Here is a 27,899-nt window from a genome sequence, read left to right as displayed (position 1 = left end):
CAGGATGTGCTGTGGGGCACGCCAACAGGTGTTGCCTGCATATCTGTGTGTGTCCCGGGGTAGGGATGTGCTGATCTTGGCGTGTAGTCCTGCACCTGTTCTGTGTGTGTGTGTGTGTGTGTGTGTGTGTGTGTGTGTGCGCGCGCGCATGCACTCAGGGTGCCTCAGGCTCTGAATCTACAGTTAAACTGGCTCCAGCTTGCCTAGCTCTTCACAATGTCAGATTTCATTCATTCACTCATTTACTCACTCATTCCACAGCTGGGAGTGCCTACCACATACCAAGCCCTGGTCTGGCTGGAGGATGTAGGGTACAAGTCTCTGTCCCCAGATCACTCAAAGGCTGGTGGCTGAGGGCAGATGCAAGCCATGGTAACGTCTATCACGCTGTTAGAGGTAGATCTACTTCTTAGGCTGCGCAGCAATAATAATTTCTCTCCAAAAGGACTGGGGGACGGTAGAACGGGCTTTAAACTGCCGATCAAGTGGAGCTGACTCGCTGGGACGCACGCTGGCTCCCCACCCACGGGGCCGGCCTCCGGGAAGCCCCTCCCACGCGGCCCTCGGAGAGGCAGTTCCCCCACACGGCCCCCCGGGGGCGCTGCGCGAAGGGGGCGGGTGCCTGGAGCACGGCGCTGGGGCCGCCCGCAGCGCTCACTCGCTCGCACTCAGTCGCGGGAGGCTTCCCCGCGCCGGCCGCGTCCCGCCCGCTCCCCGGCACCAGAAGTTCCTCTGCGCGTCCGACGGCGACATGGGCGTCCCCACGGCCCTGGAGGCCGGCAGCTGGCGCTGGGGATCCCTGCTCTTCGCTCTCTTCCTGGCTGCGTCCCTAGGTAAGGTCGGGGGAGGCGGGGCGCTGGGAAAAAGCTGGGAGAAGACAGCAGACTGGAGTGGGAACTGTGGGATGGGGGCGTCCTGGGGGCCCTCTCAGCCTGTGTGACCGTGCACCCCACTCCACCCACCGCCCAGAGGCTGCTGGGACCCCTAGGCAGGGTGCAGTGGCAACTGTGCCAAGTGCCCCAGCTAGGCATCGGGCACATCTGCATGCTCTGACAGCTGCCCAAGTGGCAGGCAGGGCTGTCCCCTGAGGGCTGCCTGTCCAGCCCTTCCCTGCCCAGAGAACCCAGGGCACAGGTAGCTTCTGCAAAGAAGGAGAGGCACAGGGTGGGGGCGGTCAGTGTGTTCTGGTGGATATCACTGGCTTTTGACAGCTGGCATCTTTCTGCCCCTCTAGTCTCAGGGCTCTAGTGTTGCAGAGGACACAGAGGGCGTGGTATGCTCAGCCAGTGCCCCATGCCCTGGTGAAACCCCTGGCTGAGCCTTGGTGGGCACTGGGCACTGGTCACGGTGGGTCCACTTTCAGACACAGAGGCAGCACTGCCCACCTGGTCCCTATTCTAAGGGTCTGATGGCCCAGGAATAAGTGGTCAGCTGATTCCTGCCATCCTAGCAAGGCTGCCACTCAGGGACCAGTGTGGAGTACTGGGGAGGATGTGGGACACTCTTCAGCTCAGCTATGAGCCCCTTCTGGGTCCCTGGATAAATTACGGCATCTCTCTGGCCTCAGTTTCCTCAGCTCAAACACAGAAGCCCACACAGGGAAGCACCATTTTCCCCTTCCAAAGTCCAGACTGTCAGCATGTTCAGATAGTATCCTGGCCCCAACACAGGGGCTCCCGGGCTGGGGGCAGAGGCCCTGGTACCCATGGCCTGGTTGCCTAGTTCTTGCCTGCCCAGAGCTGAAGAGGCTGGATCTCTTCAAAGAGCCTGTGGAACCAAACTTTATAGGGAGGGCCCAGGGAAAGTATGAGTCATGCAGGGACTCGGAGGGAGGCAGGAGGGAGGTGGAGGGCTTGGCACAGGGACCCAGTGGGCAGGATGGAATAGAAGGAGAGGGTGATAGGATAAGAGGGAGAGGAGGAGGCTGAACCTGGAAGATACCTTAGCAACCTGGGTGCCCACAGGCAGCTGGCTATCTCAGCACTTGGAGGCTGGCCTGGGCCTCTGAGGAGGAGGAGGGCTCCACATGTCACAGACACAGCTGCCCTAAGCCCCAGGGTGGATGCTTCTCAAGGTGACAGTCAGAGGGAGGAGGAGAATGGGAGGTGGAATGGACAGTCTCAGCACCAAGGCCATGGCTCATGGCAGGGCATGGCTTCCAGAAGGAACAGAGGATGGTGGCAGGCAGGCAAGCCAGCATCCCACCTGTCATGGGCCACCTGCCCTGCACTGCCCTCCCTGGTGGCCCTGTGAGACCCTTCCTGCTTTCTTGCCCACTTCCTGCCCTCACTTGGCTGGGCTGCCCTCTGTTCAGCAGCCCCAATTTGAGAAACATTTCTAGAGATCCAGGGCACAGGGACCCAGCTTGCAGAGCACCCAGTAGCAGAGAGGCCCCAAGAGGAGCTCAGGACGCCTTCCCCTATATTGCTTATATGGCCAGGGGCCTTTACTCCCAGAGGTCTTGGCTACTCAAACAACATGGTATACTAAAGGGTCATCTCTTCCTGGGCCCAGCACAGGGAGATGATTTAGGCTGGCTGCAGCTTTCCACTGAAAGGAGCCAGAAGCATTTGAATTGCTCTGGGACCTCAGGATTCTGAACTGTGACATGGACACACTATAATAGATATTCACCCAACTCCCTAGGACAGTGTGCACTGAGGGAGATAGCAGATGGGAGGCCTGGTTGCAGGCATGGTCAGCAGGATCTGTAAGTTGAGAAGATTGATCACCAGCCTGCCGAGGTGCTGGGTTGCCCTGGGTATGTTGCCCAAGGTCAAAGCCTTTATGCCAGGGAAAGTGAGATAGAGTGGCCGGGGCCAGCCTGTTCTCCAGCTCTTGGGGTTGGGCCAGCACTGAGGAGAATGGTAGTGATGAATGTGGTGTTCAGAAGCCCAGGAAACACCAAAGATACCCCTTTCCTGGGCCTGACTCAGGGTGAGATGGGTGGAGAGGTACACTTAGGGACCAGGACCCAGCAGATCTCAAGGGTAGCAGAGCCTCTTCTTCCCCACAGACATTCCCAGGACCCGAGGCAGTTACTGTCCTTGCCCTGTCCTCACAGGCTGACTCAGGACTCCCAACCTCTGGGACTAGCACATTTAAGTGCACTGGGGCTAGGGACGAGAGACCCCATCTTCTCCTTCATAGCAAACCAGGCTGCAGGGCCTTGTTGAGTAACCCAGTGCTGCAAGCCTCTGACGCAGCAATGGTCAGCTCTTAGGAAATCCACAACCCACTGCCCAGAGGCTCTGGAGTAGAGAGGAACAGCCTTGAGGCCAGTCCCTGGCATGAGGGGTCATCTACCCAATGCCAGGGACACCCAAGGGCCAGCAATACTGGGAGTCCCTTGCTGAGCTGTACTAGTTGTTCATGCTTCCACCCAAGCAGGGCAAAGGTTCCGCTGGGGTCTGACCTTCCTGGGAGAGGGTGGTCCAGGCAGGAGTGTGCTGCTGAGACGCTAAAGGGGTCACCTCCCTATCCGCACACAGTGTATGGGGTGTTAGGCCTGAGCAGATGAAAGGAAGAAAGGGATCCTCAAGGAGAACCCGTTGGCAGTGAGCGAGCCCCACATACCAAACTTGAGGCCCCAGGCTTTAGCCAACCAATGACCCAGGGTCAGTCTGGTCTCCCAGGGGAGGGTGGGCCAGGGATCAGCACTGTGGCTTCCAGTGGCCCCACAGATGCCCTTAGCTGCAGTCCCAGCATGCCTGTATATGGCAAAGCCAGGGACATGCATGCCAGGGCTTCCGTACAGCCCCTTGCTTAACTCTTGGGCTTTGTGAGTCACTCAGACCTAGGCTTAAATCCCAAGATGGCCATTTACTGCTCTGTGATATTGGACAAGTTATTCAGTCTCCCTGAGCAAGTTCCCCTCCCTCTAAAGTGGGAAGATGATACCACCTCCCTTGGAGGGCAACTGTGAAGAGCCAATGAACGAACACTTAACACAGCACCCGGCTCCTCGTGAATACTGTGTAATATTATGGTATTTCTTGGCTTCTGCAGGCCACATGCCATTGGCTTTCTATCTAAGCTGCTTGCTCTCTACAGGGCCTAATGGAGTGCCCAGGGCCTGGGAAGGCATTGGTGAGCTTCACTGGGACTAGATTCTCCAAAGCCTGGAGTATGAAGGGTGCATGGGCTGCGTCCAGCTACCTGTGAGCCCCTGTAGGCCCTCACAGTCTGAAATGCCCATGGAGGTGCCTACAGGTTCTCTTCTTAAAGTTGTCAGGAGATGGGGACATTGCAACTTGAAGGCAAGCCTGGCCCTGGGTTTGCTTATCTTGGTGGATCTTTCTTACATCTGATCTTTTTACATTCGGTCCATTCACTTTGGCTGGCCATCACCAAAGACAAAGACAGTGGCCACCATCTTTCTCATCAGTAATCCAATAATGAGGTTGCTCTGCTACTTACCAAGCCAAGCAAGCCCATTCCTTTAGCCTTTCTGCGTAGGATCTTATTTCCCATGGGGACCTGGGGTCAAACCCTGCCTCTGCTGTTCACTCATCATGGGAACACAAACACACACTTCCCCTTTGTCTGTGCAATGGACAGGTTGGGTGACGTGGTCTCAGTGAGGCTGACCACCCTCCTCTGAAGGTTAATTCCATGATGGTGTTTCCCTAGCTTCAGTCATTTGCTTATCACCTTTGTGATCTCTGCAGTGTCTGCCTTTCATAATATTTACTTATTTTTTTCTTTAAATCTACTCATTCTTTTATTTGAGTATGTAGATCTTTAAAAGGAAACTTTTTATCGCTGTCATTAGTGGAAAGCCAGTATCACTTGTCATAAATAGAACAAAACCATAAAAGAACGTAACAGGAAAACCATATAAGGGTATTGAATTCTAGTTGGAAACTTTAGCCTGGGAAGGCTCGGAGTCTGAAAACTGCTGCTTTCCCTTGCAAAAAATTAAAATAAAATAAAATTTAAAAAGAAAAGGAGATTAGCAAATGTTTTAGAGACATATTAGCATCAAACTGAGACTTTCTCTTTGATGTAATCAGGACTGAAATAATTGTAAAGGGAATAACCTCTTCTATATATGATTCAATGTTATTTAATGTAAAACCAAAAGTAAAACTATGTGGTAGACGTGGCCAGGCAAGCTGGGCTTTCATTGGTCATGACATTTGTCCGTCTTCAAGAAGGAGGTGGGGCCTCCAGTCAGTCCCCAGCTACCTCTATTCTCTAGAGAGTAGTCAGATGGCACCAGACCTCCAGAGGCTGACTACCTGGGTTCAGATCCTGACACCATCACTTATTAGTTGTGAGGCTGTGGGCAAGATACTAATCTCTCTGTGCTTCCGTTTTCTCATCTGTAAAATGGAGATGATACTAGTACCTACCTCATAGGGTGGAAGGATTACATAAACTAATCTATGTAAAAGTGTTTAGAATGAGGCCGAGCACAGTGGCTCATGCCTGTAATCCCAGCACTTTGGGAGGCTGAGGTGGGAGGATCTCTTGAAGCCAGGAGTTTCAAGCCAGGGGACCAGCCTGGACAACATAACGAGACCCCATCACTATGAAAAATTTAAAAATTAGCTGGGCATAGTGGCATGTGTCTGTAGTCCTAGTTGGGAGGCAGGGGTGGGAGGATAACTTGAGCCCATGAGTTCGAGGTTACAGTGGGCTATGATCTCATTGTCACTGCATTCCAGCCTGAGTGAAGAGCAAGACCCTAGCTCACTAAAGAAAACCAACCAAACGGCCAGGCACAGTGGCTCACTCCTGTAATCCCAGCACTTGGGGAGGACGAGGCGGGTGGATCACATGAGGTCAGGAGTTCAAGACCAGCCTGGCCAACGTGGTGAAACCCCGTCTCTACTAAAAATACAAAAATTAGCCAGGCGTGGTGGCGGGTGCCTGTAGTCCCAGCTACTCGGGAGGCTGAGGCAGGAGAGTTGCTTCAACCTGGGAGGCGGAGGTTGCAGTGAGCTGAGATTGCACCACTGAACTCCAGCCTGGGCAACAGAGCGAGACTCCATCTCAAACAACAACAACAACAACAACAGCAACAAAGCCAACCAAACAAACAAGCACTTAGAATGATGCCTGGCACAGAGTAGTAGGGGGCAAAAAGACTTGAGCTGGACCCTGAGGACGTCTTCACAGCATAGAAGCGTGAGGGTGGCTGGCTGGAGCCGGGAGCCTGAGCTGCACACAGTCCTCCTCCAAAAGGGCCTGGGGAGTCTGGGAGGGGTTCATCCACAGAAGCATCCACGGGCCGGGACCTCTGGCCAGCTGCCTAGGCCCTCCCTGGGGAGGCATGCTAGCCTCCAGCTCCAGCCCCGGATGCACGGAGGCTTTCCCAAGGTGCTGGAAGTGCCGCTTCCTTCAATAGAGCCTGGCTTCCCCTTCCCAGCCCCCTTGGTCTGATGTGAATGGACACTTCCTGCGGGGGCAGGTATCAATAAACACATCTGAGATGCCCTTTGTCCTCACTGGCCAGAAAGCCCCAGGGCAGACTTGCTGGCTTCAGGCCCTGAGCCTATGCCTTGTGACGCTTCCTTTCTTAGCCTTGGCAGCCCCAGTCCTGATTGATCCATGCCTCTGTTTCCCTCTGCATCTTGATAAAGACAGAACATAGTCTTTTCCTACAGCCCCAGCCCCAGCCTGTGGACCATCCTGGGGGATGGGGCCTGGCGGGGAGCTGGAACCAGGTCCCATTCTCTTTGGGATGTCCTGTGAGACCAAGGACGGGACCTTTTGCATCTAGTGCAGGGCCAGCCACAGCAGGCAATTAATAACTGTTTACTTGACAACCTCTAGCAGCTGGTCAGAGTTCAGCTGTTTGGGTGGGGCTTCCTAGGCCCGACTAACCAAGCTTGGGTCCCACCTCCAAAGGCTAGGGCGTTGCCTTGGCGACTGTGGGCTAAGCTCACGCCCTGTCATGAAAAATACACAGGCCTGTCCACACCCACACACACCCATCCCGTGCACACTCACAGGGGTCACCCGGGGCCTGCTGGGTGGAGAGAGGTGAAGGTCACAAAAACTGGCATTCTGAGAAGATGCCAACAAGAGCTCCTTTCCCTTGTACTGGGACAGAAACATCTGAGGGTGCCACAGCTAGAAATCTCAGGCACAGGTCCAGGCCCAAGTTCTGAGCAGATGCCCCTGATGGAACTCTGCATCCCCACAGCCTCCCTGCCTGGGCCTGGCCCATGTTAGGACCTTGGTAAATATTTGTGGAATGAAAGAATGATGTTTTCAGCTTGGGTCTGAGGCAGAGCAGGAATGTTGCACGGAGGGCGTGGAGGTCAATGCACGGTCAGTTCATTTTTTCTAAATAGCTGAAGGATGAGGCATCAGCCCCGCCTGCCCACTGGAGGGTTCTGGAGAGGTGGGTGGCTCTTCCTGTCTGCAGTGCTGGCCTGTCCAAGGTGTGAATCTCAGCTCAGTCACACAGCACTGTGTGGCCTTGGGCAAGTCACTTCTCTGAGTCTGTTTCCTCATCTTTAAAATAGGGATGATACCACCCATGTTGGGGGTGTTATGAGAACTAAATGTGACAGGTATAAGATGCTCAGCAAGAGCCTAGCACATAATACATGGTCATAAGACAGCTCTTCCCTCCTGCCCACAGGATTTTAGAGCTGGCAGCCCTCAGGTTAAGATGAAGAAACGGAGGCTCAGAGAAGGGTGGGATCTGCCCAAGGGCACACAATGAGGGCACAACTAAGTGGACACTGAGGCCCCAGGACGTTGCAATCCAAGCGAGAGTTTTACTCCTGAGACTCAGGCTTTCCCAGGTTCACGGCACTCTTCCTCTAGGTGGCCCTGCCTCCTTACCTGGTGGCAGGTGGCGGGTGGCGGGCGGGGGGCCTGGGTCTTGACAGCAGCACGGCAACTGGACGGTTCCCGCCTGGCACATGCTCAGGCCCAGGCCCCGGGTCATTTTCCTGTCCCACATGCTTTTGGCCACCCTGGAGCCAGGGGCTTTCCTCCCCACCCACTTTTCCCGGTCTCCGACAATGACCCAGGTGTCCAAAAGGATCTGCTCCTGACAATAAGCAACATCCTCTCGCCAAAGAATTGTAATTTTAGCCGGGCTGCACAGCTTCCCTGACAACACACAGGCATGTGCACAGATGTGGAGTCCGCGGGGCACGTGCAGGCCCCTCTGCGTGCTGTGCGCTGCCCCTCTCCCCCATGCCATGCCTTCGAGTGTCCTCCTAACGACAGGCTGCTGTGGGCCTTGTCCCAGCTGGAGTCTCAGACACAGTAAATGGGGTGTTTTCTGGCCTTCCCTCCCTCCCCAGGACAAACCCCTGTGGACCCTTGGTTTGTCCTGTCCCTCTGGCTTGTCCTGGACCCTCTCCTGTCTGGCCCTCTTGCTTGAAAACTGAACATCCTCCCCTGCTCCCCAAACTTGAATCCTAAGACAGCTTTTTTCTAAAAGGGGAACAACTCCTTTGGGACCTGTGGGATGGGTGGCCAGTGTGTGAGGGGTGGGGAGGTGTGGGGGATTGAGCAATGCCCCCTCTCCCGTACTCCCTGAACTCTGCTTTCTCTCTGATGCACCCACCCGCCGTGCATCTCAAGGAAGTTGCCTCCAGGGGAGAACATCCCTTCCCTACTGCTGCGGGTGCTATGGGTACAATCCTGGGGTCATTAACCCCATTGCTTAGACCCTGAGGGCTCCCAGCCTGGTGCCCTGCCCCACCTTGTTCACAGGGACACTCAGGCCAACAACCACGCTAGCCCCACTTGTCCACACCTCTGTCCACTTGAGGGCCCCCAACCCCACCCAGCTCAGCTTTGCGCATCTTGCTTTGGCTGCCAGCTCTACTCTGCCTGCCCTGCCATACCCTCCTCTGGCCTGCAGCCCCGTGTCTGCTGAGCCAGCCCTTTGGCCAGCCCCCAAGGTATGTGTGCTGGTGGTAAATACTACCGTAGCTGAAGCTGGAGCTGAATTCAGCTCCCAGCCCTGGGGTGGCTCTGGGGTAGGAGGTGATGTCAGGCAAAGGGAGAAAGGGGCAGAAGCTGGGAGAGGTGCTGGTGGGACCTGCCACATGGCCTGCTGGGGAAGGGGGCAGCACAGGGCCCCCTTGGGGCAGGTTTTGTTTCTTCCTGGGAGTACGTGGGAGAGCCCTTTCCCTAGGTCCTCCTCACTTCTGTTTCCCGGCAGAGCCATAGTTTTGCAGCTACACCCACCCCACTCAGGTGTGAAGGGGAAGTCCAGGCCAGCACGGACAAAACCAGGGGCACAGCCAAGCTTCCTGGGGCTCCTTTTCCACTGAGCCTGCTGCAGGGGTAAGGGCAGTGGGTTAGCAGAGGAGAGTTGGCTAGTCCCTGCACTGCCAGGCTTTCCCTGGGGACCCTGGGTGGATCATCTCCTCTCTTGAGTCTGTGGGTCAGATTTGTAGCATAATGGGTTTGGGCAGTAGAGTCCCATGCCAGCTAGCCCAAGAAGCCACACTCATTCATCACAAACTCAAATGTCCACAGGACCAAGAAACCACGGTGAGAGAGTGAAGCAGGCCAGGTGGAATTATTAGGGAGTAGTACGGACGGACTCTGGCGAACTGGAGTGCCGGTGCCCCCCAAAAGCTGCTACTGAGCCCCAGCTGACAGTTGCCCTGTGGGAAAGCTGGTTTAGCATTATCTTCTGATTTTCTAAGGAGAGCTGGAAGTCAGAATTTTCATGTCAAATTCCTGGTTTTTAAATGTTGCCATCTCAAGAAAATTAAAAAGATTTTGAGGATCCAATGAAATATGTGTGAAGGCTGGATGTGGCCTGTGGGCTCCCAGTTTCTGGCCTTTTTTTTCATCAGTATAGTGTCTATGTGTCTGAGTTTAATTCTAGCTCTAGCACTTGCTTGCTGTGTGATCATCAGTGAGTTACGTAAGTTCTCTGTGCCTTAGTTTCTTCATCAGTGCAATGGGAATAAAAACAATACCTTATGGCATTGTTAGATATGCCCATGAAACCCTTAGCGTAGTGCACAACACATGCTGTGTCTTCTTATTACGGTTCTGCCTAGATCCTGCGTTACCTGAAGTCCCCCATGCTCCAGGCTTTGAGATCATACCCTCTGGAACTTTGGAACTTCAGTCCAACCACTTTCCCTTTCTGGGTCTCTGTGTTTCTGCCTGAAAAGGAGACCTGTATCTTGCCAAAGAAGTTCTGAAATCTCTGCTCACCCTGACAATGACTCCAAAAATCTGGGGCTCCCAGACTTGGCTCTCTGCCTAAAACTCCACTCTTGCAGACATGCCGTTTGGGGCTTTGGTGCCTTTGGAGACTCTCCTTTAAACACAAGCGCCCCAGGATCGGATCACAAGTTGTTATCAGTCATTCACACCTTAGCAGGAAAGACTTTAAAGCTGGCTTCTCCATCCCACTGTGCTTCTCACTCCTAGGAGGCACTTCTTGACTTGCTGAATGAATTAGAGACCTGTCTAGCTCCCAAGTACCAAGCGCCGACTACTCGCATGGCACTTACAGAACACTTCATGTGAATTATTACTAACCGTTGCCTCAACTCTGCCAGGGAGATGTTTTCATTTCTGGGAAAAACATCTGTGAGTGAGGAGTCGGGGCTCAGCGTCTAAGTGGCTCACAGCTACTGGTCCAGTACAGGCTGGCCAGCTCCAGAAGCCCCACCAGGCTGCCTCCCTCCTGGCTGGGCAAGGCTTTCAGCTCTTCCAGTGGGTCCCAGCCTGCCGCCGAGGGTCCTGGGCTCTAAGGGCAGGGAAGGGGCATCTGAAGGAGGATGTGGCATTATATTGGTTCTGGGCAATGCCCCTGGCTGGGGCAATGAAAAGGATGTATCAGTTTGGATTCTGTACATAGTTCTAACCCTCCTTCCCTCTCTGCTAGACCCACAACAGCCTGACATGCCATTTAAAATAAAAATACCACTGGCCGGGCGTAGTGGGTCACACTTGTAATCCCAAGACTTTGAGAGGCCAAGGCAGGAGAATTGCTTGAAGCCAGGAGTTCAAGGTCAGCCTGGGCAACAGAGGGAGACTCCGTCTCAAAAACAAATAAATAAATAAAAATAACACCAACGCATAATAATTATAGCTATCCCTCAGATGTCTGCAGAGGGCATTAGAGCTCACATCTTGTGTTCTCATCTTTCCCTCATCTAGTCCTTTTGCAACCCTGCATTGTAGCCAATAGTTTTCTCACTGCACAGAGGAGGAAACTGAGGCTCATACAGTTAGATAGAAACGCGGCCTCTATCCAATATTCTGTTTTCAAAAGCTCATGGTTTTGAGGGTCAACCCAATTAAATGCTGGAGGATTGGGATAAGGCAAAGTGGACCAGGGAATTGCTTCATTTGCTTGGTGAAAAAAACCAAACAGAACTAGACAGTTTTCTAAGTTTGGCTGGAAGGACGTGCATGGATGAGATGACCTTTCATATACTCTCTGTCCCGGTCCCTCAGACACTGGGTTTTCCCATTTTCACACTATCTTGCCTAGGACACCCTTTCTACTGGCTGAAATCCTATCTATGCACCAAGTCCAAAGACTCTCCCTCCTTCAGGAAGTCCCTGACTGTCCCCAGAAGGCTGTTTCCTCCCTCCTCCAAGTGCCCTGAGGGCTGGCATTGGATTGCCTTTGCCATGGGGTTCTGCTGTCGGGAATGCAGGCCTCGTCTGCTCAAGGGGAGGCCATGCATTCAGCATGCAGGTGAGATGCAGCACCTGGCCCAGGCCTTGCACACGCAGGTGCTCTCTTAGTGCTCCCTGGCAAGGATGGGAAGGCATGTTCAGTCCTAGGAGTAGGAAGGGGCAGAGGTGTTGATGGCCCCTACAGAGCGGCCAAGGACAAGGAGCTGCTGTTCGAAACAGCCTTCCTGCTCCCCAACCTGCCTCCCACCCAACAGGTTTTGCATATACTCTACTGGGAAGAGGGACACACCCGACTGCATCACTGCCCTCCAAGTCTCTCCCTGCCCTGTCCAGCATCCAGGAGCACCCCTAGTTGGGGAAGCTTCTGTGACTCCCCCTACAACAGCCTAGGATGGAGTGGGGTTTGTGAACAAATGCAGAAGGCAGTCTTAGGGAGGTCAGCTGACATGCCCCTGGCCTGTGGCTGGGAAGTAGCAGAGGCTAAGGTTCTTCCCCGCTCTGGGGTTGCCAGGAGTAGCACTGGATCAGTCAGGTGACAGGGCTCTCCTCTCTCTGAGCAGGTCCGGTGGCAGCCTTCAAGGTCGCCACGCCGTATTCCCTGTATGTCTGTCCCGAGGGGCAGAACGTCACCCTCACCTGCAGGCTCTTGGGCCCTGTGGACAAAGGGCACGATGTGACCTTCTACAAGACGTGGTACCGCAGCTCGAGGGGCGAGGTGCAGACCTGCTCAGAGCGCCGGCCCATCCGCAACCTCACGTTCCAGGACCTTCACCTGCACCATGGAGGCCACCAGGCTGCCAACACCAGCCACGACCTGGCTCAGCGCCACGGGCTGGAGTCGGCCTCCGACCACCATGGCAACTTCTCCATCACCATGCGCAACCTGACCCTGCTGGATAGCGGCCTCTACTGCTGCCTGGTGGTGGAGATCAGGCACCACCACTCGGAGCACAGGGTCCATGGTGCCATGGAGCTGCAGGTGCAGACAGGTGAGGGCATCCTGCACGTGACAGCCTGGCGTGTGTGGAGGGCTGCCTGTCTGATGGTGTGACCATTCATGACACTGTGCTGGGCAGAGTGTGAGGCTGCATGGGTAACACTGGCACTCCAGGGAGTGTGTGGGTGAGATGGGGTGGTCAAGGGTGTGTGGAGTGTGGGTTTGTAGTTAGCTGGAGTGATGGAGAGGGAGGGTGTACCTGGCTCCATTTGTGACAGTGAGACTTTTTAATGTGTGAGGCTGTAGGTACCTGGGCTGGGAGTGTGACTGCTCATGATGACATCATGGCTGCTGTGGGTATAGGCATCAGTGGGACTGATTGGTGCCCTGGGGCATGACTCAGTGGATGGCTGAATGGCTGTTGGAGAATATATGCGTGTGTGTGTCTGTCTGTTCAGGTGAGAGTGCAAGGGCCCATGGTTCGGATAGAGGTGTGGGCACCAGCGGGTATTCACATGCCCCTGGGAGTGGCATGAAAATGGGCAGGGTGAGAACATGCCAGGGTGTGTGTGGGTGCACACGTGTGCAGGCTGCCACTGGGCCAACACTGCCGAGTAGGCACTAGCGTGAGAACCTGGGGCAGGAGGGGGACACTGGCCTGGACAAGCCTCCCTGGCCTCCTGGGCCTGACACCCACCTAATGGCCCTTCTGTTTGTTCCCACAGGCAAAGATGCACCATCCAACTGTGTGGTGTACCCATCCTCCTCCCAGGATAGTGAAAGTAAGGGACCAACCTCTTGCCCCTTTTGGGTTCTCTGTTTTCTTCTGTCCTCATCCTGCACCCAGACCCTGTTTGGAACTCTGGCCTCATCACCCCAAGCCCTCAGAACCCCCCGGTCCTCCTCCTTTTCTGCTGCTGCACATCCCTTCTGCTTCCTCCTTGGTGCAATCCCCAGAAGCCCACTCTCCTTCCATCTGCTCTGGAGTCTCTGCTCCTCTTGACTCTCTGGAGTGGCTGTGCCTTGGCAGTGACCTTTGGCCAGGGCAAGTGCCTCATGACAGGTACTGGGTGCCCCAGGCAGCTAAGTGCCGCCCTGCCCACCAGCCCCCTATGGCTTGGGAAGGCTGGGGGTCCTCTTGGCCTAGAATTAAACTACTTCAGATTTCTGTGTTCTGTGTTTCTATGTTCTTCAGATGTTCTCTGTTGCAGGGGAGGGAGGAGGAAGAGGTTCAGGAAGGGGAACAGAACTACCTTTCCTGAGTTCCCACTGTGCTGGGCACTGGACTAAGTCTTTTTAAGTATTATTATCTCAGGGATATATATATATATATATGTGTGTGTATATACATATATATACACATATATACATACATATATATGTATATACATATATATACATACATATATATGTATATACATATATATACACATATATACACACATATATATGTATATACATATATATACACACATATATATGTATATACATATATATACACACATATATATGTATATACATATATATACACACATATATGTATGTATGTGTGTGTGTATATGTGTGTGTATATATATGTGTGTGTGTATATATATGTGTGTGTGTATATATGTGTGTGTGTGTATATATGTGTGTGTGTATATATATGTATGTGTGTGTGTATATATATGTGTGTGTGTATATATATGTGTGTGTATATATATGTGTGTGTGTATATATGTGTGTGTGTATATATGTGTGTGTGTATATATGTGTGTGTGTATATGTGTGTGTGTGTATATATATGTGTGTGTGTGTGTATATGTGTGTGTGTGTGTGTGTGTGTGTGTATATTTTCTGAAACACGGTTTCACTCTGTTACCCAGGCTGGAGTGCAGTGGCGCGATCTGGGCTCACTGCAACCTCCGCCTCCCGGATTCAAGCGATTCTTCTGCCTCAGCCTCCCGAGTAGCTAGGATGAGATTACAGGCGTGCACCACAATGCCTGGCTAATTTTTGTATTTTTAGTGGAGCTGGGGTTTCACCATGTTGGCCAGGCTGGTCTCAAACTACTGACAAATGATCTAACTGCCTCGGCCTCCCAAAGTGCTGGGATTACAGGTGTGAGTCACCACGCCTGGCCTCAGGAATTTTTTTTTTTTTTGAGAAAGACTCTCTCTCTGTCACTCAGGCTGGAATGCAGTGGTGCAATCACAGCTCACTGAAGCCTCAAACTTCCAGATGCAAGTGATCTTCCTGCTTCATTCTCCCAAGTAGCTGGGACTACAGGCACGCATCACCATGTCTGGTGAATTTTTAAAAATTATTTTTGGGGTTAGGTGCGGTGGCTCACGCCTGTAATCCCAGCACTTTAGGAGGTCAAGGCAGGCAGATCGCTTGAGGCCAGGAGTTCGAGACCAGCCTGGCCAACAGGGTGAAACCCCATCTCTACTAAAAACACAAAAATTAGCCAGGCATGGTGGTGCACGCCTGTAGTCCCAGCTACTCAAGAGGCTGAGGCAAGAGAATCGCTTGAACCCGGGAGTCAGAGGTTACAGTGAGCCGAGATCGCGCCACTGCACTCCAGCCTGCTGATAGAGCAAGACTCCATCTCAAAAAAAAAACAACCCAAAATTTGCCTGGCATGGTGGCAGGCATCTGTAATCCCAGCTACTCGGGAGGCTGAGACATGAGAGCTGCTTGAACCTGGGAGGCAGAAGTTGCAGTGAGCCGAGATCACACCACTGCACTCCAGCCTGGGTGACAGAGCGAGACTCTGTCCCAAAAAATCAAAAAAATCACTTTTGGTAGAGATGCACTCTCGCTATGTTGCCCAGGCTGGTCTTGAACTCCTGGGCTCAATTGATCTTCCCACCTTGACCTCCAAAGTGCTGGGATTACAGGTGTGAGCCACCATGCCTAGCCTCAGGGAATTCTTATAAGAACTCTATGAAGTAGGCATCACCATCTTCTCTGTATCCATGGAAAGAGAGGCCTAGAGATGTATGCTAACTTGCCCAAGCTCACATAGCCCAGGGTAGCATAGCTGGGATCTGGCTGCAGGCCTGCTTAGCTCTGCATACTCACCTTCTTCCCAGCTTGGGGCAGTGCAGTGGGTAGCAGTTAGCCCCCCGGTGCTTGCCAGAGAGGTGCCCTACAGGGTAAGAGGGCACTGCCCTAAGGGTGCCTGGCGCTGAGAGGTTGGGTGAGAATACCCAGCAGCTTGGAGACAAAATGCAAGGGCACCTCCCTCTTCTGAGAAGAGGTCTTGGCTTCCACACCCCTCTATACCCTGTATGTGTCAGACATCCAGTGGGGACCAGCCCCTGCTAGGCCCTGGAGATACAAAGGCATCCAGGAGGACATGCACGAGGACCTAAGCCGGAATGGGGATCAGCTAAACCACGGACCCAACAAAACCCAACTCAAAGGCTACAGTGACTTTTTACTCAGCTACCCTTTTTTCAAACCAACAAACAGGCCAAGAGCAAAATTAGAACATGCATTTTGGTCAGAGCCATGTTGGTCAGGCTGGTCTCGAACTCCTGGGCTCAAGTGATCTACCCGCCTTGGCTCCCCAAAGTGCTGGGATTACAGGATTGAGCCACTATGCCCAGCCCCAGTGCCAGCCTCTTAATGTTATCCTTGGGAAGTAAGAGTGTAGCTTGACTATGAAATAACATGAAAGTACAAGTTAACCTGAGGTAGGGGAATGAGACTAGAGAAGTTGGTGCCCAAGGAGCTCCTGCATTGCTGAGGGGCTGTGGTTTCTCAGTGAGCTCAGAGAAGGGGTCTAGGCAGCTCATCTCCCTTTGAACTTCTTCCCACCCCCCAGCGCAGCAGAATGTGCTGTCTGCTTTCACCCAGCTTCCTCCCTGGGAAACCAGGCAGCCCAACCCTCAGCAGCCGAACTCCCTCCTCCATATATCCCCGTGGGCTACCAGGCAGGCCCTGGACAAAGGCCGCCTGAGCAGGCCAGGCCCCTCCCATCCCACCCTGCTGTGTCAGGGCCTGGCACACTCCTTAGTGCGGTGTCGGCAGCTACCTCTGCCAGCGCCTGATCACCTTCCCAGGATAAGCCTGGCTCTGGATGGTGAGTGAGTATGCCTGCCTTCCCCTGTGAGTGCCAGCCCAGGCACTGGCCACGCTTGGGGGAAGGGGTGGGGAACTGTGGCGAGGCTGAGCTCTGCAGAGATGCCTACGGCTTCAGAAAGCAGCTGGATCCACAGACTTGTCCCCAAACCTCTGCGCCCCTCTGCCCCAGCCTCAACTCAGCCCAGATCGTAAGGAAGCCTCAGGCTCTCAAAGTGAAATTAAGTCCTGATCTGATAGAGGGTCCACATAGGGGAAATCTCTACCTGGGGATAGAAGTTAGGCAGGGATATCTGGCCAAGCTCACCCTCCAAAGGCAGATAGGGAACAGGTATCAATGAGCACCTGGCAAAGCTCACAAAATGTTGCTTACTAGCCGTCCAGAGGAGACCTGCTTTGATCACTAGAAGAGAGTGCTTTGCAACTGGCTTCTCAAATATTGCCCACAATAAGGTCCTTTGATGGGGGTTTTGAAATACTGAGGTGTCTGGGTTATAGAATGTCTTTACTTTCAATATTCCACGTCAAAATGCAGCCTTGCTAAGATCTGCAGGGAACCTGCTGTAATGTGGAGCGGAACTTGCTTTGTAATTAGCATAGCAACTGTTCCTGTACCAGTGGGTACTTCTAAAGTGACTGAAAACAGTTTGTTCTCATTTGCAGTATGAACAAACCTCCTGAAAGCTTGTTTACGCTGTCGGATTGTAGAGCAAAACAAAAACAGCCTTTATTCCCAAACAAATAGCGGAAAGGCAACATTTAGACCACAGCCATTTACCTCTCAGAGCTCTTTGGGGCGAAGTTGACACTGTGACAAGGTATCCCAGCCCATCTTTTGGCCCTGGGAAAGGCTAAAATTGGGAAGGAAATGCGTTTATGTTGGTTGTGGTTCTGAGGGCACGTCTGTTCCCAGCTAAACTCCTGCAGTCAGCAGATGCCCTGAAATAAATCAAACCTCCTCATGCTGTTGGGACAGCGAAGCTTCGTGTACACCTTTTTGGAGGGCAATTTAGCAATAGCCTAAAAGAAAATGCACATACTCTTTGGCTCAGCACTTTGACCGCTAGGAATTTACTACAGATTTCCTTGCTGAGTGAGCCAGGCTGCGTGCACAAGTTCATTGCTACATTATTAGTTATGCTGAAAATGGAAACAACATGTCTACCAACAGGGGACTGCTTCAATAAATTTAGTGGGAGCCATGTGATAAAACTCTAAGCAGAATGAGGCAGGGGAGACAGAGAGATGTCCAAGCTGTGCTCAGTGGGAAAAGCATTGTCATATGATGCTGCGTCTGCTGTATTTGCAGGGAATATAACTAGGACCATAACACAAAAACCGGCACACAGGGATGATCTCTTCAGAGGGGGTCTTGGTACAAGGGGAGGAGGAGATTCGAATATTTTTTAAACTTGTACTTTTTTTGGTAGTTTAATAAGTTTAAAATTGAAAAACATTGTACAAGGATTCACGTTTTTCTAGTTCTCACCCCGGGTGTTTCTCCTGTGACTTGTGTGGTGAGATCAAGGGGTTCTAGAGGCCCCATCCCAGAGCTAAGGAGTCTCTGGGATGAGTTGGGGCTTTTTATCTATTATGATAAAACATATATAATGTAAAATTTGCCATTTCAACCATTTTAAGCCTACAGTTTGGTGGCATTAATTACATTCACAATGTGCAACCGTCACCACTGTCTATTTTCAAAACTTTCATCACTTAGGCTTCTTTTGACCTTGAGCTCTGTGGCATGGGGTCTGCGAAGGCCCTGCTCTCCCTTTTCAGAGAACAACCTGTAGCCAAGGGTGTTCCAGCTGTACCTTGTGGGCTGGGATGAGGACTCTGTTCCCTCTCTTGCCTGGAGCTGCCTGAGCTGTAGGTGACAGGTCTTGTTTCTGAGTGCTCCAGGGGCATAGGGCGGCAGGCACAGGGCTCTCTTTGAAAGGAGAACCGCCTTATCTTCCATGCCTCTGTAGGTTGCTGGGGGTCTAGCTGTGGGACTCTGGGGAAAGGCGGGTCTCCTGCTTCCTGGCCTTCCCTCTCTGAGCCTCAGTTTATGCTCAGGAGGAGCAATGGGAATGGGGCTTCACCTTGGCTACCTCTCTGCCCTTTCAGACATCACGGCTGCAGCCCTGGCTACGGGTGCCTGCATCGTAGGAATCCTCTGCCTCCCCCTCATCCTGCTCCTGGTCTACAAGCAAAGGCAGGCAGCCTCCAACCGCCGTGAGTATTCCTCCCTGCCTGGGGTGGGTGGACGGTGCGAGTGACCTGCTCCAGCCCCCAGTTCAGCCCCTGGGATTCGCAAAGGCACGATGCAGGCACAATTCCTTTTCATTTGAGAGTTGGGAGCAGCTGCACTTCCCGCCAGGAGCTGGGCGAAATGGCCGAGAGAAAGGAGGCATGCCATTTCCGGGGGCCAAGTGCCCACCAGCCCCTTTGGCTCCCAGGCAGTGCTGGCTCGGCACTCAATACATGTCTTCTGAATGAATGATCATATGCAGTAGCTCAAGTTGCTTTATAAAAGCAAGTTGCTGCCACTCAGAGATCCTTGGGGGACCTGTTTAAGGTATGGGCGTGCTTGTTTTGTAATTAGTAGCAATTGTTGGGACAAAAAATGATCTTTGGAATATCAGAAGTGGAAGGGGTCTTACAGACAACTTAGCTCAACCCTTTCTTTTTCCAGATGAGAAGGCTAAGATCAGTGGGGTTACATAACTGACTGAATGTTACGTAACTTAGTAAGTGGCAGAGCTAGGACTCAATCTCAGAGCTTTCAACGCATGCTCTTTCCAGGGAATAGAAGTCCACCATATAATAAAAATGCTCTCACTTACTCCTCATTGCAAGTCCAAGAATTTGGTCCTACCATTGTCCCCATTTTACTGATGGGCAAACGGAGGCACAGAGGGGTTAAGTAACTTGCCTAAGGAACCACACAGCAAATAAGTGGTGGGGCTGGGCTTTAAGTCATGGGCACAAACATCTTTCACCTCCCACCCTGGCCAGGTGACAGTGCCCCTTGCCTAGTTCCTGACCCTGCCCTTGAGTCTTGGTTAGTCTGAGTCCTCCAAGAAGGGGCTAGGGAGTTTTTTACCCTTGCCTCCCCTCCCTGGCCTCTTCCCGTCTGCCTGGCTACAGAGGTAACTGAGAAAGGATTGCTCTGGTGCCAGGTGGCTTTTGGCTCGCAACTTATTTCCTGTGGCCGGCCCTTAACAACTTGTCATCCCTCCCTCCCCTCATTCCCGGGGGCCCCCACGTGAAGCCCCATAGTGGGTCACTCGGGGGCTGTGGCCACCTCACCCTTGCTTTCAGAACTCCCCTATTCCTCTCCTAGAACACACCACAACCTACCTGCAGGAATACCCATGGCTGGGGGTGGGTGGGGGCAGGTAAAGGGCTTGGAACAGAAGAGCAACGCTGGGCAGCAGGGCAGGGGGAGCAGGTGTTGCTGTGCCCTCCCTGGTGGAAGGCTGGCCCAGAGAGCCTGCTCAGGAATGAGGCACTCTCAGGAAAAAAAGAAAAGGAAAGGGCTGGGAGCCTTGAGGACGGCAGTTTGCTGGAGAGGCCAACAGGTGTGGATTTCCATCCTGCTTTGGACTGAGCCTCAGTTTCCCCAGCTCTAAAATGGGACCAACAACCCTCACCCCAAAGGGTGGCACAGAGGATGAGATGAGGGAATACCCGTGTGCACCTGCACGAAGCCTGACCCATGAGTCGGCTGTAAGCAATAGCCATGGTTTGAATAGATTTCAGGAACTTTTGGGTAACTTCCCTGTGTTTGTTCTGTTGTTGTGCCCCTCCCCCACCATCTGTTTCCCCATCGTAATCAGCAGTAAATCTCCTTAAAACGAGAAGCATCTGTGGGAGGACATGGGGTGCTGCATGAAAGAGGGAAGTTGGGGTCACTGCATCTAATTGGTGGCCAGTTTGGGGGGTGGGGTGTCCCAAGGCTGAGGCAAGCGGCAGCAACTTGGATGAGAAGCAGAAAGTGAGTGAAGTGGCTGGGAAGTGATCGGGGACTTGCACCTTGTAAGGTTTCCCTGAGAGATGTCCCCTAGAATGCCACCCTATTAGGCAATGTAGGGGATAGGACAGAGAGGACCAGGAGCCCTCTAATTAGGAACTGACCTTAAACACTCCCACCCAGTAAGTCATGGCTAAAGACCAGAACCTGGCAAATGTTCAAACAAGAGACACCAGTTAGCAAATTCAAGAGTTGACCTTTGCTCGATACTTAAATCCTGAAGGTCTGACACTGTGTAAGTCAAGCCATAGGAGAAAGCGCTGGCTGCCTTTGGTCTCCTGATGGCAGATAGCGTTCTTACACTCCTGGAAAATGCAGATAGAGTTTCATTTATCAGTCGTCAAAATGGGCCCCTCATGGAGGCCCCATCTGCTGGACAGACACGCAGATCGCTTGCTGGACAGCACCCATGTGAAAAGAAATGGAGTCCGGAGCTGTGCAGGGCCCTCCTGGGCTCGCTCCTGTTCCCTGCAGGGCATCTGCCAGCAGGGGCAGGGATGTTGTATGGGGAAGCCTTCCCTTCCATGACCAGCTTCTCTGTCTGTCTGTCCCTAGGTGCCCAGGAGCTGGTGCGGATGGACAGGTAAGGCCCATGGAGACCTTCTTGAGAAAACTTCCTGGGCCGGCTATCCAGGAAGAGATACTTCTGTGCAGTAGGGGCCCTGTTTAGCTGCCTAGAGCAGCTGGTCAGAAGAGCCTCTGCCATCTGCTGCTGAAGCCTGCACATCTGTGCAGATTGGCTGTTCTCCTGCCACCCCGACTCAGCAGGCTGAGCTCTGATTCTGCTCAGATGTGTCATGCACCCACCTTCGGGTCTCAGTGGTCAGCCTGGGCCAGGATGGGGACAGGGAGGAAGCACTGTCTGGGGCAGACAGTGAGACATGCAAAGGAGGCCAGCGGGCCCAGCCCCAGCCACAGCCCTTGAGCTGTGCCTCCTGCCCGCAGAGAACTCCAAGGAGAAAGCTGTTAGGCCGCTGCAGGCCACAAGGGCAGAGGCTGAGGGGTCCCAGAGTGGTGCAGTGGGCTGGGTCTAGGGGCAGAGGGGATGGGGACTGTGTATTGGTGTGCTCTGGGCAGGAAGCTGCCATGCAGCCTGGCCTGGAGGGTGTGTTCAGGGAACCCAAGTTCCTGCCCCGGTACCTGCAACACCAAACACAAAGCTCCTCTAGGTGTTTGAAAGGGATGATCTTCAAGACAGGTTGAAGGAAGTCCTGCTTGCAACTCATCTAGAATCTAAGAGTTGCAGGGGTCTTCAGAAGTTATCCCACTCCCAACTGGGAAGAGAAGAGAACCCCTCCCCTCAGCTCAAGACAGGCTTTGGGGATGTTCGATCCTAATGCCATCAACTCTATTGACCAAAGAGAAACTTGTCCCCAAATTCCTGAGGCTGAAGTTCTAGAAGTGTCTGTGATTTTTGGCTTCCTGGCTGTGCCCGGGGTTGATGGTCAGACCACAGGGAGGAGCTGGGGTCTGTTCTGGTGGGCCCTGATGCCCTCAGCTCAGGACAGGTGGGCAGGTGCAGCCCATGGCCTTTGCTCTGTGGGCCTGGCTCCTGCCTTCTTGCTTGGAGATGCTGCTGAGGCTTGGGGATGGGGATGTAGGTGAGAGAAAGGGAGGAGAGAAAAACTGGGGGCAGGGAGGGCAGAGTTCACGCTCCGGACAGCACAGATGACCTTCCATTCTGGTTCTGTGGCAGCAACATTCAAGGGATTGAAAACCCCGGCTTTGAAGCCTCACCACCTGCCCAGGGGATACCCGAGGCCAAAGTCAGGCACCCCCTGTCCTATGTGGCCCAGCGGCAGCCTTCTGAGTCTGGGCGGCATCTGCTTTCGGAGCCCAGCACCCCCCTGTCTCCTCCAGGCCCCGGAGACGTCTTCTTCCCATCCCTGGGTAAGTGTTTCCTGACCTTCACAGCACGATGACCTGTAAGGTCATGACCTCATGGCCTGCAGGGCATCGGCCTCACTCCCTGCCCTCCCTGAAGAGTTCCACGGCCTCACGGGGTGGGGTTGAGGGTGAGGGACAGAGGGGCCCCCATTCACCTCCCTGAAGAGTTCCACGGCCTCACGGGGTGGGGTTGAGGGTGAGGGACAGAGGGGCCCCCATTCACCTCCCTGAAGAGTTCCACGGCCTCACGGGGTGGGGTTGAGGGTGAGGGACAGAGGGGCCCCCATTCACCTCCCTGAAGAGTTCCACGGCCTCACGGGGTGGGGTTGAGGGTGAGGGGCAGAGGGGCCCCGTTCACTTTGCTTCTCCTTTTCTTGCAGACCCTGTCCCTGACTCTCCAAACTTTGAGGTCATCTAGCCCAGCTGGGGGACAGTGGGCTGTTGTGGCTGGGTCTGGGGCAGGTGCATTTGAGCCAGGGCTGGCTCTGTGAGTGGCCTCCTTGGCCTCGGCCCTGGTTCCCTCCCTCCTGCTCTGGGCTCAGATACTGTGACATCCCAGAAGCCCAGCCCCTCAACCCCTCTGGATGCTACATGGGGATGCTGGACGGCTCAGCCCCTGTTCCAAGGATTTTGGGGTGCTGAGATTCTCCCCTAGAGACCTGAAATTCACCAGCTACAGATGCCAAATGACTTACATCTTAAGAAGTCTCAGAACGTCCAGCCCTTCAGCAGCTCTCGTTCTGAGACATGAGCCTTGGGATGTGGCAGCATCAGTGGGACAAGATGGACACTGGGCCACCCTCCCAGGCACCAGACACAGGGCACGGTGGAGAGACTTCTCCCCCGTGGCCGCCTTGGCTCCCCCGTTTTGCCCGAGGCTGCTCTTCTGTCAGACTTCCTCTTTGTACCACAGTGGCTCTGGGGCCAGGCCTGCCTGCCCACTGGCCATCGCCACCTTCCCCAGCTGCCTCCTACCAGCAGTTTCTCTGAAGATCTGTCAACAGGTTAAGTCAATCTGGGGCTTCCACTGCCTGCATTCCAGTCCCCAGAGCTTGGTGGTCCCGAAACGGGAAGTACATATTGGGGCATGGTGGCCTCCGTGAGCAAATGGTGTCTTGGGCAATCTGAGGCCAGGACAGATGTTGCCCCACCCACTGGAGATGGTGCTGAGGGAGGTGGGTGGGGCCTTCTGGGAAGGTGAGTGGAGAGGGGCACCTGCCCCCCGCCCTCCCCATCCCCTACTCCCACTGCTCAGCGCGGGCCATTGCAAGGGTGCCACACAATGTCTTGTCCACCCTGGGACACTTCTGAGTATGAAGCGGGATGCTATTAAAAACTACATGGGGAAACAGGTGCAAACCCTGGAGATGGATTGTAAGAGCCAGTTTAAATCTGCACTCTGCTGCTCCTCCCCCACCCCCACCTTCCACTCCATACAATCTGGGCCTGGTGGAGTCTTCGCTTCAGAGCCATTCGGCCAGGTGCGGGTGATGTTCCCATCTCCTGCTTGTGGGCATGCCCTGGCTTTGTTTTTATACACATAGGCAAGGTGAGTCCTCTGTGGAATTGTGATTGAAGGATTTTAAAGCAGGGGAGGAGAGTAGGGGGCATCTCTGTACACTCTGGGGGTAAAACAGGGAAGGCAGTGCCTGAGCATGGGGACAGGTGAGGTGGGGCTGGGCAGACCCCCTGTAGCGTTTAGCAGGATGGGGGCCCCAGGTACTGTGGAGAGCATAGTCCAGCCTGGGCATTTGTCTCCTAGCAGCCTACACTGGCTCTGCTGAGCTGGGCCTGGGTGCTGAAAGCCAGGATTTGGGGCTAGGCGGGAAGATGTTCGCCCAATTGCTTGGGGGGTTGGGGGGATGGAAAAGGGGAGCACCTCTAGGCTGCCTGGCAGCAGTGAGCCCTGGGCCTGTGGCTACAGCCAGGGAACCCCACCTGGACACATGGCCCTGCTTCTAAGCCCCCCAGTTAGGCCCAAAGGAATGGTCCACTGAGGGCCTCCTGCTCTGCCTGGGCTGGGCCAGGGGCTTTGAGGAGAGGGTAAACATAGGCCCGGAGATGGGGCTGACACCTCGAGTGGCCAGAATATGCCCAAACCCCGGCTTCTCCCTTGTCCCTAGGCAGAGGGGGGTCCCTTCTTTTGTTCCCTCTGGTCACCACAATGCTTGATGCCAGCTGCCATAGGAAGAGGGTGCTGGCTGGCCATGGTGGCACACACCTGTCCTCCCAGCACTTTGCAGGGCTGAGGTGGAAGGACCGCTTAAGCCCAGGTGTTCAAGGCTGCTGTGAGCTGTGTTCGAGCCACTACACTCCAGCCTGGGGACGGAGCAAAACTTTGCCTCAAAACAAATTTTAAAAAGAAAGAAAGAAGGAAAGAGGGTATGTTTTTCACAATTCATGGGGGCCTGCATGGCAGGAGTGGGGACAGGACACCTGCTGTTCCTGGAGTCGAAGGACAAGCCCACAGCCCAGATTCCGGTTCTCCCAACTCAGGAAGAGCATGCCCTGCCCTCTGGGGAGGCTGGCCTGGCCCCAGCCCTCAGCTGCTGACCTTGAGGCAGAGACAACTTCTAAGAATTTGGCTGCCAGACCCCAGGCCTGGCTGCTGCTGTGTGGAGAGGGAGGCGGCCCGCAGCAGAACAGCCACCGCACTTCCTCCTCAGCTTCCTCTGGTGCGGCCCTGCCCTCTCTTCTCTGGACCCTTTTACAACTGAACGCATCTGGGCTTCGTGGTTTCCTGTTTTCAGCGAAATTTACTCTGAGCTCCCAGTTCCATCTTCATCCATGGCCACAGGCCCTGCCTACAACGCACTAGGGACGTCCCTCCCTGCTGCTGCTGGGGAGGGGCAGGCTGCTGGAGCCGCCCTCTGAGTTGCCCGGGATGGTAGTGCCTCTGATGCCAGCCCTGGTGGCTGTGGGCTGGGGTGCATGGGAGAGCTGGGTGCGAGAACATGGCGCCTCCAGGGGGCGGGAGGAGCACTAGGGGCTGGGGCAGGAGGCTCCTGGAGCGCTGGATTCGTGGCACAGTCTGAGGCCCTGAGAGGGAAATCCATGCTTTTAAGAACTAATTCATTGTTAGGAGATCAATCAGGAATTAGGGGCCATCTTACCTATCTCCTGACATTCACAGTTTAATAGAGACTTCCTGCCTTTATTCCCTCCCAGGGAGAGGCTGAAGGAATGGAATTGAAAGCACCATTTGGAGGGTTTTGCTGACACAGCGGGGACTGCTCAGCACTCCCTAAAAACACACCATGGAGGCCACTGGTGACTGCTGGTGGGCAGGCTGGCCCTGCCTGGGGGAGTCCGTGGCGATGGGCGCTGGGGTGGAGGTGCAGGAGCCCCAGGACCTGCTTTTCAAAAGACTTCTGCCTGACCAGAGCTCCCACTACATGCAGTGGCCCAGGGCAGAGGGGCTGATACATGGCCTTTTTCAGGGGGTGCTCCTCGCGGGGTGGACTTGGGAGTGTGCAGTGGGACAGGGGGCTGCAGGGGTCCTGCCACCACCGAGCACCAACTTGGCCCCTGGGGTCCTGCCTCATGAATGAGGCCTTCCCCAGGGCTGGCCTGACTGTGCTGGGGGCTGGGTTAACGTTTTCTCAGGGAACCACAATGCACGAAAGAGGAACTGGGGTTGCTAACCAGGATGCTGGGAACAAAGGCCTCTTGAAGCCCAGCCACAGCCCAGCTGAGCATGAGGCCCAGCCCATAGACGGCACAGGCCACCTGGCCCATTCCCTGGGCATTCCCTGCTTTGCATTGCTGCTTCTCTTCACCCCATGGAGGCTATGTCACCCTAACTATCCTGGAATGTGTTGAGAGGGATTCTGAATGATCAATATAGCTTGGTGAGACAGTGCCGAGATAGATAGCCATGTCTGCCTTGGGCACGGGAGAGGGAAGTGGCAGCATGCATGCTGTTTCTTGGCCTTTTCTGTTAGAATACTTGGTGCTTTCCAACACACTTTCACATGTGTTGTAACTTGTTTGATCCACCCCCTTCCCTGAAAATCCTGGGAGGTTTTATTGCTGCCATTTAACACAGAGGGCAATAGAGGTTCTGAAAGGTCTGTGTCTTGTCAAAACAAGTAAACGGTGGAACTACGACTAAACCCTGGGTCTCCTGCTTCCTCCTCACTGAATGGATTGGTATTATGGGCCAGGGCCTGGCTTGGCCTTCACCTTGGACTTGCTTAGAGCACATACAAGGGCTCTGGGAGATGAACTTGTGCCCACAGGTCCAGGGCTCCACTGTACTGCACACCAGAAACGTTCCTATCTGTGCTCTGCCTGCCCTGGCCTGGGCCTTCTTCTGGGTCCAGAAGACGCTGCTGCTGATGGGTAGGCTCCTTCCATATCAGCTCCTGCCACTCCCTTTTCTGCCTGCCAACTGTGGAGCTAGAGGACTCCTGATAGGCACAGTGGCCCATGCACCCCTCTTGCTTGCATTAGGGGATGGGGAAGGGAGAAACCCTCAGCAGCTGAGCCCCAGGGTCTCTTGGAGGAACTTAGCCAGTTGTATGTGGAGCATCTGGGCAGCTGTGGAACATCCCTCAAGAAGCCAGGCCAAGGGAAGGGTCTGGATGTACTTGTGCTGGGTCAGGGAAGGCCAGCCTTCTTGGTGCCACAGAGGGTGAGGGCCAGGCTGGGACCTTCTGATCTCAAGCCAGGGGAAGCAGAGTTCACAATAGCAGGGTCCAAGTCTAATAAACAGAAGGGGCCTCTGCTCTAAAGACATGAGGTGTACTGCCAAGAGCAGTGTCCCCAGCTCATAGACCGTCACGGGGCCGCTGCTGGGGACTTGCATACCAGAAGGGGGCGGTGGGAGATTTCTGTCCTTCTGCCTGGATAGGTGACTTCTGCAGGTCCTCACCAGCCTGAGAAGCCAGGGCTTCTTATCTGGAATAGTAGTATCGGTTGGCTGCAATTCACGTGGCAGGGAGGCCACAGTTAGGCCCTCCCTCCCTCTCCACCCCACTGCCAAGTGCCTCTGAGGTTGGGCTAACTCCTGACCTCCCAGTTACCTTCCGCCCTTCCTCCCTGGGCCCAGCTCTTCCTTTGCAGGGGCCTCCCTGACAACCACTTAAACCCCTCCCCCAAGCCTGGCCTGTCTTCCCATGGCCTGGAGCTAGGCAGGGGCTGAGGCTCCACAATGACTCCCCCGGCCAGTGGCACACCATTGTGTGGCGGGCCTGGGTCTGGCCCAGATACCCCTTGCAGCACAGCTGTTCCGAGTTCGGGTGATATGGGCTGAGGCCGGATGGGGGTGGCCTAGGCTGTTTGCAGGAATGTCCAGCTCTCAGGAACCTGGGGGGACGAGGGTCTCAGGGAGAAAAGTAGAGCTGGAGGGACTCAGAGAATTTCTCTTGGCTCTGG

At 54.2% G+C, this 27,899-nt stretch overlaps 2 protein-coding genes across 2 annotated transcripts in view, besides 7 other annotated features; one reads left to right on the top strand and one right to left on the bottom strand.

Annotated features, from left to right (window-relative positions):
- The window catches only part of CDH23 (cadherin related 23), a 419,028-nt gene that overhangs the window by 41,757 nt on the left and 349,372 nt on the right, over positions 1–27,899 (bottom strand). The gene's annotated exons all lie outside the window — the stretch shown is intronic.
- Positions 442–771: a silencer, noted in NCBI's record as "silent region_2466". NCBI's record gives its function as "represses an Ori minimal core promoter by ATAC-STARR-seq in GM12878 lymphoblastoid cells {active_cell/tissue: GM12878}" and the evidence as "EXISTENCE:reporter gene assay evidence [ECO:0000049][PMID:35858748]".
- VSIR (V-set immunoregulatory receptor) lies at positions 671–26,635 on the top strand. Its single transcript, NM_022153.2, has 7 exons — positions 671–833; positions 12,165–12,593; positions 13,267–13,323; positions 18,725–18,832; positions 21,189–21,216; positions 22,330–22,523; positions 22,901–26,635. The coding sequence occupies exons 1-7, from the start codon at positions 752–754 to the stop codon at positions 22,936–22,938; spliced, it is 936 nt and encodes a 311-aa protein (NP_071436.1). The 5' UTR covers positions 671–751; the 3' UTR covers positions 22,939–26,635.
- Positions 792–871: a silencer, noted in NCBI's record as "silent region_2465". NCBI's record gives its function as "represses an Ori minimal core promoter by ATAC-STARR-seq in GM12878 lymphoblastoid cells {active_cell/tissue: GM12878}" and the evidence as "EXISTENCE:reporter gene assay evidence [ECO:0000049][PMID:35858748]".
- Positions 6,655–7,854: an enhancer, noted in NCBI's record as "P300/CBP strongly-dependent group 1 enhancer chr10:73526094-73527293 (GRCh37/hg19 assembly coordinates)". NCBI's record gives its function as "activates an origin of replication core promoter dependent on BRD2, BRD4, P300/CBP, MED14 and CDK7 cofactors, with strong dependence on P300/CBP, by STARR-seq in HCT116 cells {active_cell/tissue: HCT116}" and the evidence as "EXISTENCE:reporter gene assay evidence [ECO:0000049][PMID:35650434]".
- Positions 16,061–16,596: an enhancer, noted in NCBI's record as "H3K4me1 hESC enhancer chr10:73517352-73517887 (GRCh37/hg19 assembly coordinates)". NCBI's record gives its function as "activates a minimal SCP1, AML or CMV promoter by ChIP-STARR-seq in naive H9 embryonic stem cells {active_cell/tissue: H9 hESC(naive)}" and the evidence as "EXISTENCE:reporter gene assay evidence [ECO:0000049][PMID:30033119]".
- Positions 25,219–25,348: an enhancer, noted in NCBI's record as "active region_3520". NCBI's record gives its function as "activates an Ori minimal core promoter by ATAC-STARR-seq in GM12878 lymphoblastoid cells {active_cell/tissue: GM12878}" and the evidence as "EXISTENCE:reporter gene assay evidence [ECO:0000049][PMID:35858748]".
- Positions 25,549–25,598: an enhancer, noted in NCBI's record as "active region_3519". NCBI's record gives its function as "activates an Ori minimal core promoter by ATAC-STARR-seq in GM12878 lymphoblastoid cells {active_cell/tissue: GM12878}" and the evidence as "EXISTENCE:reporter gene assay evidence [ECO:0000049][PMID:35858748]".
- Positions 25,984–26,193: an enhancer, noted in NCBI's record as "active region_3518". NCBI's record gives its function as "activates an Ori minimal core promoter by ATAC-STARR-seq in GM12878 lymphoblastoid cells {active_cell/tissue: GM12878}" and the evidence as "EXISTENCE:reporter gene assay evidence [ECO:0000049][PMID:35858748]".

The sequence above is a fragment of the Homo sapiens genome, chromosome 10 (assembly GCF_000001405.40).
Source record: "Homo sapiens chromosome 10, GRCh38.p14 Primary Assembly".
NCBI classification, from domain to species: domain Eukaryota; kingdom Metazoa; phylum Chordata; class Mammalia; order Primates; family Hominidae; genus Homo; species Homo sapiens.
This window is presented reverse-complemented; position numbering and strand designations above follow the sequence as displayed.

Excerpts from the sequence above, each read along its gene's own strand:
- VSIR (NM_022153.2), top strand. The coding sequence starts at position 752 with ATGGGCGTCCCCACGGCCCTGGAGGCCGGCAGCTGGCGCTGGGGATCC. Across the intron at positions 834-12,164 it reads CTTCCTGGCTGCGTCCCTAG|GTCCGGTGGCAGCCTTCAAG; the intron begins GTAAGGTCGGGG and ends CTCTCTGAGCAG. Across the intron at positions 18,833-21,188 it reads GCAGGCAGCCTCCAACCGCC|GTGCCCAGGAGCTGGTGCGG; the intron begins GTGAGTATTCCT and ends GTCTGTCCCTAG.